This window comes from Homo sapiens, chromosome 1, assembly GCF_000001405.40.
Source record: "Homo sapiens chromosome 1, GRCh38.p14 Primary Assembly".
Classification (NCBI taxonomy): domain Eukaryota; kingdom Metazoa; phylum Chordata; class Mammalia; order Primates; family Hominidae; genus Homo; species Homo sapiens.
The window spans coordinates 69,924,090-69,936,561 of record NC_000001.11 but is presented as its reverse complement, the minus strand read 5'-3'; the positions used below and the strand labels follow the sequence as shown (position 1 = coordinate 69,936,561).

General features: G+C 38.9%; 1 protein-coding gene across 6 annotated transcripts in view; it reads right to left on the bottom strand.

Annotated features, from left to right (window-relative positions):
* The window catches only part of LRRC7 (leucine rich repeat containing 7), a 576,443-nt gene that overhangs the window by 207,803 nt on the left and 356,168 nt on the right, over nucleotides 1-12,472 (bottom strand). For all 6 annotated transcript variants that reach the window (NM_001330635.3, NM_001366839.3, NM_001370785.2 and 3 more), the window contains one exon: nucleotides 4,992-5,055. In NM_001330635.3, the coding sequence (NP_001317564.1) occupies nucleotides 4,992-5,055 (64 nt within the window). The remainder of the gene's footprint in view (nucleotides 1-4,991; nucleotides 5,056-12,472) is intronic.

The following is a 12,472-nucleotide window of genomic DNA, read 5'->3' as shown; positions in this document are numbered from 1 at the left end:
ATAAAAACCTGCAACAAGCAACTGGAAACTATAATTTTTGAAGAAGTACATTTATAACTACAATTTAAAAATAATGTACTTAGGAACAAATTAATTAAAAATGTGTGAAATCTTTTTCTGAAGAAAATTATAAAACTCAGATATTAAAATAGAAAATAAATGAAGATGTATGTCATGTTGATGCCTAAAAAGGTTTGATATGATAGAAATGTCAACTCTTTATTATCGTTCCAATAAAAAATTGAGTTATAGGGTCAATGCCGTTGTAATCAAGTCCTAACATTTTTTCTTTTTGAGAAACTTGATCAACTAATTCTAAATGCATACAAAAAGTAAATGTCCAGATGCCTAAGTTTGAGACACTTGCCCTATCCACTGTCAAAATTTATTGTTTGTGCTAATTACAATCATGTAGTTTTTGTACCTAGAAAATAAGGAAAGTAACTCATGAATGTACAGAAATCATATTTTGTTAAGAGGTGATACTCATATCCATGTGGAAAGGAAATGCTACTTAATAAATGGTGCTTGGAAAGCTGAGTCTCTGGAAAAAAAATACACAGTACACAGTATAAATAATTAAGCCCCCCACAGAAATGAATTTGATTATGAAAAAATTAAACCTTCAAACGTTTAGAAGAAAACATATGAAAAACACGTTTTGGCTTTGAGGAGGGAAGGACTTCTTAAGCAAAACAGAAAATGTGCTACCCACAAAAAACTATACATTTTCTTATTTTATAATTAAGACCTTCTATCCATCAAAATATACCAGGTAGAAAATAAAAAGACTCTCCAGAGACTGAAAAGAAATAATTGTAGTACCTACAGACAACAAAGGATTAGTATGTGAAATATATCAAAGATCTCCATAAATCAACAAGAAAATGACTACCAATAGAAAAATGAGCAAAAATACATAAACCGGCATTTCACAAAACAGGAAACACAAATTGCCACAAACATATGAAAAAATCATCAATCTCATTAGAAATCAGGGATAGACAACTTAATTTAGTGTTTATTTTGTATCCATTATTTGGCAGTCTTTCTAGTTTAGCTACAAAGAAAGGTTATATATTACAATGCCTATAAGGAATCTAGATTTCGAATTTGATAACCATGCTTTAAAATAAAATAGAATGCACATTATAATTCCAATTTGGTAGGTAGAAATATCTGTGCAGACACATATAACCAGTATGTATTATGCCATACTTATAGCAAAATTTTAAATCTATTCAAGCACTACCTGCTTGAATAGCACAGGATAAGGAAATTAGGTCCTTCTTGAAATAGTCCTCCCCAGTTATTCTTTTTAGGAGTCCTTTGTAGGGGTTTGGTGGGGGCAAAGACAAGGGAATTTCACATAAGGGGAGATGCTGCTCCAATAACCATTGTACTCCCTGCCTTCCTTCCCTGCTACCCATTGCCACTGTGGGTCAGTGGGTCCCTACCCATGCTGCTTTCTTTGAATTCCCGAACTCTAAACCACATATAGACTACTTCTCACTCAGTTTGTTAGTCTCCTCTGGGCTGGGCTCTTCTTTCTTTCTGGCTTACAAAAAAGCACGTTTTGCTTCTTATAACTGACTCTTCTGATGAAGGCTCCCATGGTAGAGTTGTTGGGGCCTTAAGTGACACTCTCCTTTATAGAACAGCCCTCTTTTTTCCAGCACAGGGAGGGGAGGAGAGAGGCAGTGAAGGAGGCTTGCAGCTGGAAGCTGGGTCTAGACTAGGGGGAGGGTTGGCCATGGTCAGCAAAGAGGATGATCCTAAGGGTTAATGTTATCTGGTTCCATACATCAGCCTAATAGTGTTCCATCTCTGACCTGGCCCCAAATAATACTTGTTTGACTTCATTAAAGAAAATGAGAGTAAAGGGAAGAATATACCAAAAAATATTAATAATGGTTATATATAGGATGAGATCATGAATGATCCTTACTCTCATTTTTTCACTTTTTAACTTTCTATTTTTTTAAAAATGAACATTTATTCATCTTATGTTGAGCAAAACAATTCATGAAAGAAACAACAAAACCCCCCACCCCCCGCCCCCCCCCCGCCAAAATATCTATTATGTTCTCAGAACTTTGTTCAATATATTCTGGGGATAATTGCTATTAAAAATATAAAATAATTCCCTTTGTTTAGAATTTTTCATTATTACAAATGCTTCTATAAGTAGATATTTCTACTCTGAATCTTATTTGGGACATTTACATTGCTTCTCAAGCAAGCCAACTTCTGTTCTCATTAGGCCTTCACATTTTATTTTTAAAATTATAGTCATCTACTCTCCACATTGTCTCTTTACCATGTCATGCAAAAATAAATCATCTAATGATAATCTCCTACGGTGTCAATATCTAGCTACAGAATAGAATTTGATCTCCTCTCCTCCACATGACATTGTTTCTAGAGGTCTCTTATCAGAGCAAAATCTCTTATTTTCTCATTCAAAGTTGTTACTGTTACAACAACAGCCAGTTCCATGCATATGACTAGTAATAGTCAAACTATGATTAAAAGTGAGTAACATCAGAAATGTAAAGTTCCACAGTTATACTCTTCAAATACTTAAGCACTACCAAATAAAACCTCTTAGAACAAATGCAAAAGTAAGAAAATAGAAAAAGAGACTTATTTTGTGCCTGGCATGAAATACTGGCATAACACAAAATAAAAGTTATTTCTGCTCGTAGGATTTCTTAGATACCATAAATCATACATTATTAAAATAATTTAAAATTTACTTTTAGTACAACTAGTTTTGAAAAATAAACCCACCCTTTTCATCATTGTTGACCCAAATCTTTACAGTAAAATACCGATTCACACATATTCATATGAAGCACTTGCAGAATAATATACCTGACAGAATTGAAATTCATTTAACATACTGAATATTTGTTGTAGATTATCTTGCATGAAATTCTCTCAAAAAGCCTATAAGATAGAGAAGACTGATGCCCTTACTGTATTGATAAGGAAGTTGAAGTTAGAGAGTGAGCTATAGACCCAAAGGTACCCTCCATGTTTTTCAATTATTAGGCTGACCTACATGTCTTAATAAATGTGTGGGCAGATCTTAGGTCTTTAACAACTTATTTTTAAAACAATAAGTATAAAACTACTAGTTTTGCCACTATCTGTTATTTACCACCCCCACTAAACTCTCTACCTACGTTAATAAATATCTCCTTTAAAAATTCCTGAGGTGCATTAAGCTATGTATTTATGAGGTACTCTTGCCTTAATATCTGTGTTGAGGCCACCCTGCAAACTGCTTTGTAACAACACTAGGTATATCCAAAGCAGAGTAAATTTGACAGTGTAATCTGACAGGCAAAGAAGTCTCTGGAATTCAGCTTTACTTGGTGTCTCTCAGTTTGTATGTTATGTGGACTCTCAGAGCCAGCAGACAGGCCATGGGGCCACTACTGAGGTCATGGCTGGTGAGGGCCCATCACAACACAAACTGGGGATGGACTGCTCATCCTGTGCTGGAGGGAGGACAGGGCACAGTCTCATTCATTTACAGCCAGTGAGAGCTGAGTATAGCAATGCCCAAAGAGGAAGATGGCCAATGCTCCTAGAGAGTTTTATCTGAGCCCGCAGACCTGACTGTGGATTCAGAACTGACGATTTAACAGGACGCAGCATCAGCTGCAGACAGCAGCCCAGAGACCAGCATATGCTGCCAACCTACTTCTGAAAACTAGCTTGAGGCCAGAGAGTCCTTATTGCCCAGGTCACAAAGAAATTTAGCCTCCTCTGCACATACCCAAATTCCATCTTAGGGAGGAAAGCAGGGGATGGAGAGAGGAACATGAGAGACTAGCAATTTTTATGCAAGAAAGATGAAAACAACCTAAAGGGACTATCTAACTTCTTAAATCATATTAAACTTAATCACAGAAGAATAAAACTCAGTTTTCATCCTTAATAAACAACTGATGGAGGCTGGGGTAATGATCAGATTAGCTATGGTTGAAGTAAAACAAATTAATTTTCTTTGTGCATTCAAAATACAGTGTGAGTTAAACCCTTTCACCCTTGCACACTGGCATTTATTAGAATAAATTTTGCTAGGTCCTGTACATACATTATCTCATTTAATTCTCACACAAGCCCTGTGTAAGAGAGAACATTATAATCCCTATTTTATACACGAGGAAAATAAGGCGAAAAGAGGTTATGCAACTTGCACAAAGTCACATAGCTAGTAACAGACCTGGGACAGGGAATGGATTGCTTACTTAAATCTTTTAATTTTAAAATAATTAAAATACACTTTAGATGAATTGAATTTTTTGAAATTTGAGATATTCAAGTGGAAGACTTCTGAATAGAGAAAGCTGAGCCGTCTTGTAAAGAAGTATATGCTTTCTGATTTGCATCTGAGATTTTGGTCTTCAGGCAAATTTTAAACAAAATGGATGCTCAAAAGGAGAAGGCAGAATTCTGCCAGTCTTGCCAGCAGTGAAGTAGTAATATGGGTTCACTAGAAAGACGCTTTCAATATAGTAAGAACCAGAATGCCATTGGTGACTTACTTCTCTCATGCAATGGCACCAAGAAGCCTCCAAAGCAGGTTTTCAAGGTACGGTCTTTGCATTTAATCAAGTCTGGGTTTAATCCCTGTTCAGGCACTTAATAGCTATGTATGACAGTGACCATTTTAAGTTCATTTCCATTAGGTTAAAATGGCAACATGTCCAATCAGGATTAAAAGAGATAACATATGTAACATACTAAGCATGGCACCTGTCACATAGTTGGTCCTCAAAACTATCAATTTGTATCTGGCTCAATTCCATTTTTTTTTCCAAAAAGTGAAAGCTAATATTAACTTCCAGGTTTTTACTTTTACATTTAGCAAATGCAAACGTGCAATCAAGTTAATACCTTGGTTTACAAAGACAGAGCAAAAGAAAGAATCTCCTGAAGGGTATTTATCAGGTTTAGAAAATGCATTTGCTTACCAGCTCACCGAATTCATTATTGCCTAGGTCAAGTCTTTCCAACTGGGCCAGTTTGTGCATTGACCTACAACAGATGGAGAAAAATACTATTGTGAGGTAGTGCATGATACATTGCTCTAAAAGACATTCCAACCACCTTCCTGTCAGATTTACCTGATTGCGTAGTACACAAAACTGGGGGTACTCTTCAGCAACAAGTAAATCTCAAATACACAAAATCTATGCAAACTGCCAGCTGAAAAGCTACAGCATCTGTTCACAAATGCCAATATGGTTGGCATGCAAGGCTGGCTCCTTAACAAAAATCCAAGAAGCTTATTAAATATCTACACCAGTGGGAGGTGTAGGGTGGGGCCCCACTTCAATATTTTTAAGAGTCACCACAGGATTGGGAATCAATGGCTGAAACCAATTCTCAGCAAACCATTCTAAAATCTCATAATATGGCACCATTTCATCATCAGTCTTATTATTTTCTACTCCTTTAAATGAACTTCTGTTACAGACAAATTGTAGTCATTGTCTCCCAAACATATTGACTTGAAAGCTGCTATAGCTATGAATAGTTGTCACACTGATACAGTTTTGGTCTGTGTCCTGACCCAAATCTCATCTTGAATTGTAATCCCCATAATCGTATACTGAGGAAGGGACCTGGTGGGAGGTGATTGGATCATGGGGGTGGTTTCTCCTATGCTGTTCTCATGAAAGTGAGAATTCTCATGAGATCTGAAGGTTTTATAAGTGTTTGACAGTTCCTCCTTCACATGTTCTCTCTCGCCTGCTGCCATATAAGATGTGCCTGCTTCCCCTTCGGCCATGATTTTAAGTTTCCTGAAGCCTGCCCAGCCATGTGGAACTGTGAGTCAATTAAACCTCTTTTCTATATAAATTACCCAGTCTGGAGCACTTCTTTATAGCAGTGTGAAAACAGACTAATACACAAACCTTGGGCAAGAGTTGATGTCAAAAGTTCAGGGAACCCAAGTGCACTCCATATGCAGTCAGCATTTCTCAAAGCACTCTCAAGTAAACATACACTATGAGAAAATACAGTGCTTTTCTGAAAGATTTTTTTTTATCTCTCCACTAATCAGAATTCTGTCCTTAAGTCCTGCCTATACAGGAATTCTTCAGACACCATTGATTGAAATCTTAGAAATTTTAGTTTTATCACATTTAAAATGGATGTAGAAATTACCTTATAGGGCTTTTATGAACCTTAAATGAAATATTACTGCAATCCGGATGCTATCAGATACTCAGAAATGCAAAAAAATTATGTACTCTTTCTTCACTCAGCAACTATTATTGAGAGAGTATTATGTGCTGATCTGGGGTATGGCAGAGAACAAAACAGATAAAAATTCCTACCTCAAAGGACTTTACATTCAGCAGGGAAGAATCAGAGTAAACAAAATAATAAAATAAAATAAAATAACATATTAAAAGGTTACAAGTGCTACAGAGAAAAGTTAAGCAGAGGAGGTAGATAGAGAGAATTCATATAAGGATTTAATTTTTAGTAGGGTGATCAGGTAAGGCCTCAATGAGAATACGAAATTGGAGCCAAGGCAGAAAGGAAATGAAAAAGCATGCTAATATGGAGATTCTAAAGCAGGGACATTTTACTTGCTTGAAGACATCCTAGCAGACCAGTATGGCTAAAGAAGAGAGAGAGAGGGAGGAGTAGAAAGATGATGTAATGGGGAGTTGCATAATATGCGATCTTACAGCACAATGTAGAGACTTTGGCTTTGATTCTGAGTAGGATAGGGGGCCACTGAAAGGTTTTTATGAAAGATGTTTCTGAAATGATTTGTTTTAGAAGAATATCTGTGATTGCAGGCTTATAAACAGACTGAGGGGGACAACAGTAGAAGAAGGAAGATCAAAGAGAAGGCTAATGTAATAAGTCAAATAAGAGGTGATGGTGGCTTGGACTGAATCTATTTTACTTCTTTCTTATTATAAAAAATTTATGGCCACAGTGGTGGCCATAATAAGGCAATGGTAAAGGTGCTGAGATGTGGTAGGGTTCTGGATATAGTTAAGATAAGAACTAAATGTCTTGATGAGTCAGCTGTGGGGAATGAGAGCTGACTGTGACTAAAGGTGTGTTTTGGTCTGAACAACTAGAAGGATGGAGTTGCAAGTGACTGATGAGGAAGACCAAGTGGAGCAGGGTTTTGGGTAGACTGGAAGTTCAGTTTTAGGTGTTCAGTTGGAAATTTCTACTCTAGAGTCAACTAGAGATGTTAATCATTCAGTTGCATAAACAAGCATAGACATCAAGAAAAGAGTCTAGGAAAGACATAATTTGAGCATGGTAGCATAGAGATGGCTTACCAGCTCACTGAATTCATTATTGCCTAGGTCAAGTCTTTCCAACTGGGCCAGTTTGTGCATTTACCTATAACAGATGAAGAAAAAATACTATTGTGAGGTCTTGAGAATATAGATCACCAAGGGCATGAATGTAGATAAAAAGAGAATAGGTCTGAATGGATATGAAGAACAAATAAGTAAAACTGAAAAGTGACTAGGGACATAGGAGAAAAAATAAGAAGAATGTAAAGTCCTGGAAGCCAAATAAGAACAGTATTTCAGAGGCTGGCAGCCAAGATGGCCAAATAGGAACAGCTCCGGTCTACAGCTCCCAGCGTAAGCGACGCAGAAGACGGGTGATTTCTGCATTTCCATCTGAGGTACCAAGGTCATCCCACTAGGGAGTGCCAGACAGTGGGGGCAGGACAGTGGGCGCAGCGCACTGTGCACGAGCCGAAGCAGGGCGAGGCATTGCCTCACTTGGGAAGCGCAAGGGGTCAAGGAGTTCCCTTTCCTAGTCAAAGAAAGGGGTGACAGACGGCACCTGGAAAATCGGGTCACTCCCACCCTAATACTGCTCTTTTCCAATGGGCTTAAAAAATGGCGCACCAGGAGATTACATCCCGCACATGGCTCGGAGGGTCCTACGCCCACGGAGTCTCGCTGATTGCTAGCACAGCAGTCTGAGATCAAACTGCAAGGCGGCAGCAACGCTGGGGGAGGGGCGCCCACCATTGCCCAGGCTTGCTTAAGTAAACAAAGCAGCCATGAAGCTCAAACTGAGTGGAGCCCACCACAGCTCAAGGAGGCGTGCCTGCCTCTGTAGGCTCCACCGCTGGGGGCAGTGCACAGACAAACAAAAAGACAGCAGTAACCTCTGCAGACTTAAACGTCCCTGTCTGACAGCTTTGAAGAGAGCAGTGGTTCTCCCAGCACGCAGCTGGAGATCTGAGAACGGGCAGACTGCCTCCTCAAGTGGGTCCCTGACTCCTGACCCCCGAGCAGCCTAACTGGGAGGCACCCCACAGTAGGGGCAGACTGACACCTCACACGGCCGGGTACTCCTCTGAGACAAAACTTCCAGAGGAACGATCAGACAGCAGCATTCACGGTTCACGAAAATCCGCTGTTGTGCAGCCACCGCTGCTGATACCCAGGCAAACAGGGTCTCGTGTGGACCTCTAGCAAACTCCAACAGACCTGCAGCTGAGGGTCCTGTCTGGTAGAAGGAAAACAAAGAGAAAAAATATCCACAGCAAAAACCCATCTGTACATCACCATCATCAAAGACCAAAAGTAGATAAAACCACAAAGATGGGGAAAAAACAGAGCAGAAAAACTGGAACCTCTAAAAAGCAGAGCGCCTCTCCTCCTCCAAAGGAATGCAGTTCCTCACCAGCAATGGAACAAAGCTGGACGGCGTATGACTTTGATGAGTTGAGAGAAGAAGGCTTCAGATGATCAAACTACTCCGAACGACAGGAGGAAATTCAAACCAAAGGCAAAGAAGTTAAAAATTTTGAAAAAAATTTAGATGAATGTATAACTAGAATAACCAATACAGAGAAGTCCTTAAAGGAGCTGATGGAGCTGAAAGCCAAGGCTCGAGAACTACGTGAAGAATGCAGAAGCCTCAAGAGCCGATGCAATCAACTGGAAGAAAGGGTATCAGTGATGGAAGATGAAATGAATGAAATGAAGTGAGAAGGGAAGTTTACAGAAAAAGGAATAAAAAGAAATGAACAAAGCCTCCAAGAAATATGGGACTATGTGAAAAGACCAAATCTATGTCTGACTGGTGTACCTGAAAGTGACGGGGAGAATGGAACCAAGTTGGAAAACACTCTGCAGGATATTATCCAGGAGAACTTCCCCAATCTAGCAAGGCAGGCCAACATTCAGATTCAGGAAATACAGAGAACGCCACAAAGATACTCCCCAAGAAGAGCAACTCCAAGAAACATAATTGTCAGATTCACCAAAGTTGAAATGAAGGAAAAAATGTTAAGGGCAGCCAGAGAGAAAGGTCGGGTTACCCACAAAGGGAAGCCCATCAGACTAACATGGGATCTCTTGGCAGAAACTTTACAAGCCAGAAGACATTGGGGGCCAATATTCAACATTCTTAAAGGAAAGAATTTTCAACCCACAATTTCATATCCAGCCAAACTAATCTTCATAAGTGAAGGAGAAATAAAATACTTTACAGACAAGCAAATGCTGAGAGATTTTGTCACCACCAGGCCTGTCCTAAAAGACCTCCTGAAGGAAGCATTAAACATGGAAAGGAACAACCGGTACCAGCCACTGCAAAATCATGCCAAAATGTAAAGACCATTGAGGCTACGAAGAAACTGCATCAACTAATGAGCAAAATAACCAGCTAACAGCATAACGACAGGATCAAATTCACACATAACAATGTTAACTTTAAATGTAAATGGGCTAAATGCTCCAATTAAAAGACACAGACTGGCAAATTGGATAAAGAGTCAAGACCCATCAGTGTGCTGTATTCAGGACACCCATCTCACGTGCAGAGAAATATATAGGCTCAAAATAAAAGGATGGAGGAAGATCTACCAAACAAATGGAAACAAAAAAAGGCAGGGGTTGCAATCCTAGTCTCTGATAAAACAGACTTTAAACCAACAAAGATCAAAAGAGACAAAGAAGGCCATTACATAATGGTAAAGGGATCAATTCAACAAGAAGAGCTAACTATCCTAAATATATATGCACCTGATACAGGAGCACCCAGACTCATAAAGCAAGTCCTTAGTGACCTACAAAGAGACTTAGACTCCCACACAATAATAATGGGAGACTTTAACACCCCACTGTCAACATTAGACCCGACAACGAGACAGAAAGTTAACAAGGATACCCAGGAATTGAACTCAGCTCTGCACCAAGTGGACCTAATAGACATCTACAGAACTCTCCACCCCAAATCAACAGAATATACATTTTTTTCAGCACCACACCACACACCACACCTATTCCAAAATTGACCACATAGTTGGAAGTAAAGCTCTCCTCAGCAAATGTAAAAGAACGGAAATTATAACAAACTGTCTCTCAGACCACAGTGCAATCAAACTAGAACTCAGGACTAACAAACTCACTCAAAACCGCTCAACTACATGGAAACTGAACAACCTGCTCCTGAATAACTACTGGGTACATAACAAAATGAAGGCAGAAATAAAGATGTTCTTTGAAACTAACGAGAACAAAGACACAACATACCAGAATCTCTGGGACACATTCAAAGCAGTGTGTAGAGGGAAATTTATAGCACTAAATGCCCACAAGACAAAGCAGGAAAGATCCAAAATTGACACCCTAACATCACAATTAAAAGAACTAGAAAAGCAAGAGCAAACACATTCAAAAGCTAGCAGAAGGCAAGAAATAACTAAAATCAGAGCAGAACTGAAGGAAATAGAGACACAAAAAAACCCTTCAAAAAATTAATGAATCCAGGAGCTGGTTTTTTGCAAGGATCAACAAAATTGATAGACCGCTAGCAAGACTAATAAAGAAGAAAGGAGAGAAGAATCAAATAGACGCAATAAAAATGATAAAGGGGATATCACAACTGATCCCACAGAAATACAAACTACCATCAGAGAATACTACAAACACCTCTATGCAAATAAACTAGAAAATCTAGAAGAAATGGAGAAATTCCTCGACACATACACCCTCCCAAGACTAAACCAGGAAGAAGTTGAATCTCTGAATAGACCAATAACAGCCTCTGAAATTGTGGCAATAATCAATAGCTTACCAACCAAAAAGAGTCCAGGACCAGATGGATTCACAGCCGAATTCTACCAGAGCTACAAGGAGGAACTGGTACCATTCCTTCTGAAACTATTCCAATCAATAGAAAAAGAAGGAATCCTCCCTAACTCATTTTATGAGGTCAGCATCATCCTGATACCAAAGCCAGGCAGAGACACACCCAAAAAAGAGAATTACAGACCAATATCCTTGATGAACATTGATGGAAAAATCCTCAATAAAATACTGGCAAACCGAATCCAGCAGCACATCAAAAAGCTTATCCACCATGATCAAGTGGGCTTCATCCCTGGGACCCAAGGCTAGTTCAATATATGCAAATCAATAAATGTAATCCAGCATATAAACAGAACCAAAGACAAAAACCACATGATTATCTCAACAGATGCAGAAAAGGCCTTTGACAAAATTCAACAACCCTTCATGCTAAAAACTCTCAATAAATTAGGTATTGATGGGATGTATCTCAAAATAATAAGAGCTATCTATGACAAACCCACAGCCAATACCATACTGAATGGGCAAAAACTGGAAGCATTCCATTTGAAAACTGGCACAAGACAGGGATGCCCTCTCTCACCACTCCTATTCAACATAGTGTTGGAAATTCTGGCCAGGGCAATCAGGCATGAGAAAGAAATAAAGGGTATCCAATTAGGAAAAGAGGAAGTCAAATTGTCCCTGTTTGCAGATGACATGATTGTATATCTAGGAAACCCCATTGTCTCAGCCCAAAATCTCCTTAAGCTGATAAGCAACTTCAGCAAAGTCTCAGGATATAAAATCAATGTACAAAAATCACAAGCATTCTTATACACCAATAACAGACAAACAGAGAGCCAAATCATGAGTGAACTCCCATTCACAATTGCTTCAAGGAGAATAAAATACCTAGGAATCCAACTTACAAGGGACGTGAAGGAACTCTTCAAGGAGAACTACAAACCACTGCTCAATGAAATAAAAGAGGATACAAATGGAAGAACATTCTATGCTCATGGGTAGGAAGAATCAATATCGTAAAAATGCCCATACTGCCCAAGGTAATTTATAGATTCAATGCCATCCCCATCAAGCTACCAATGACTTTCTTCACAGAATTGGAAAAAACTACTTTAAAGTTCATATGGAACCAAAAAAGAGCCCGCATCGCCAAGGCAATCCTAAGCCAAAAGAACAAAGCTGGAGGCATCATGCTACCTGACTTCAAACTATACTACAAGGCTACAGTAACCAAAACAGCATGGTACTGGTACCAAAACAGAGATATAGATCAATGGAACAGAACACAGCCCTCAGAAATAACGCCGCATATCTACAACTATCTGATCTTTGACAAA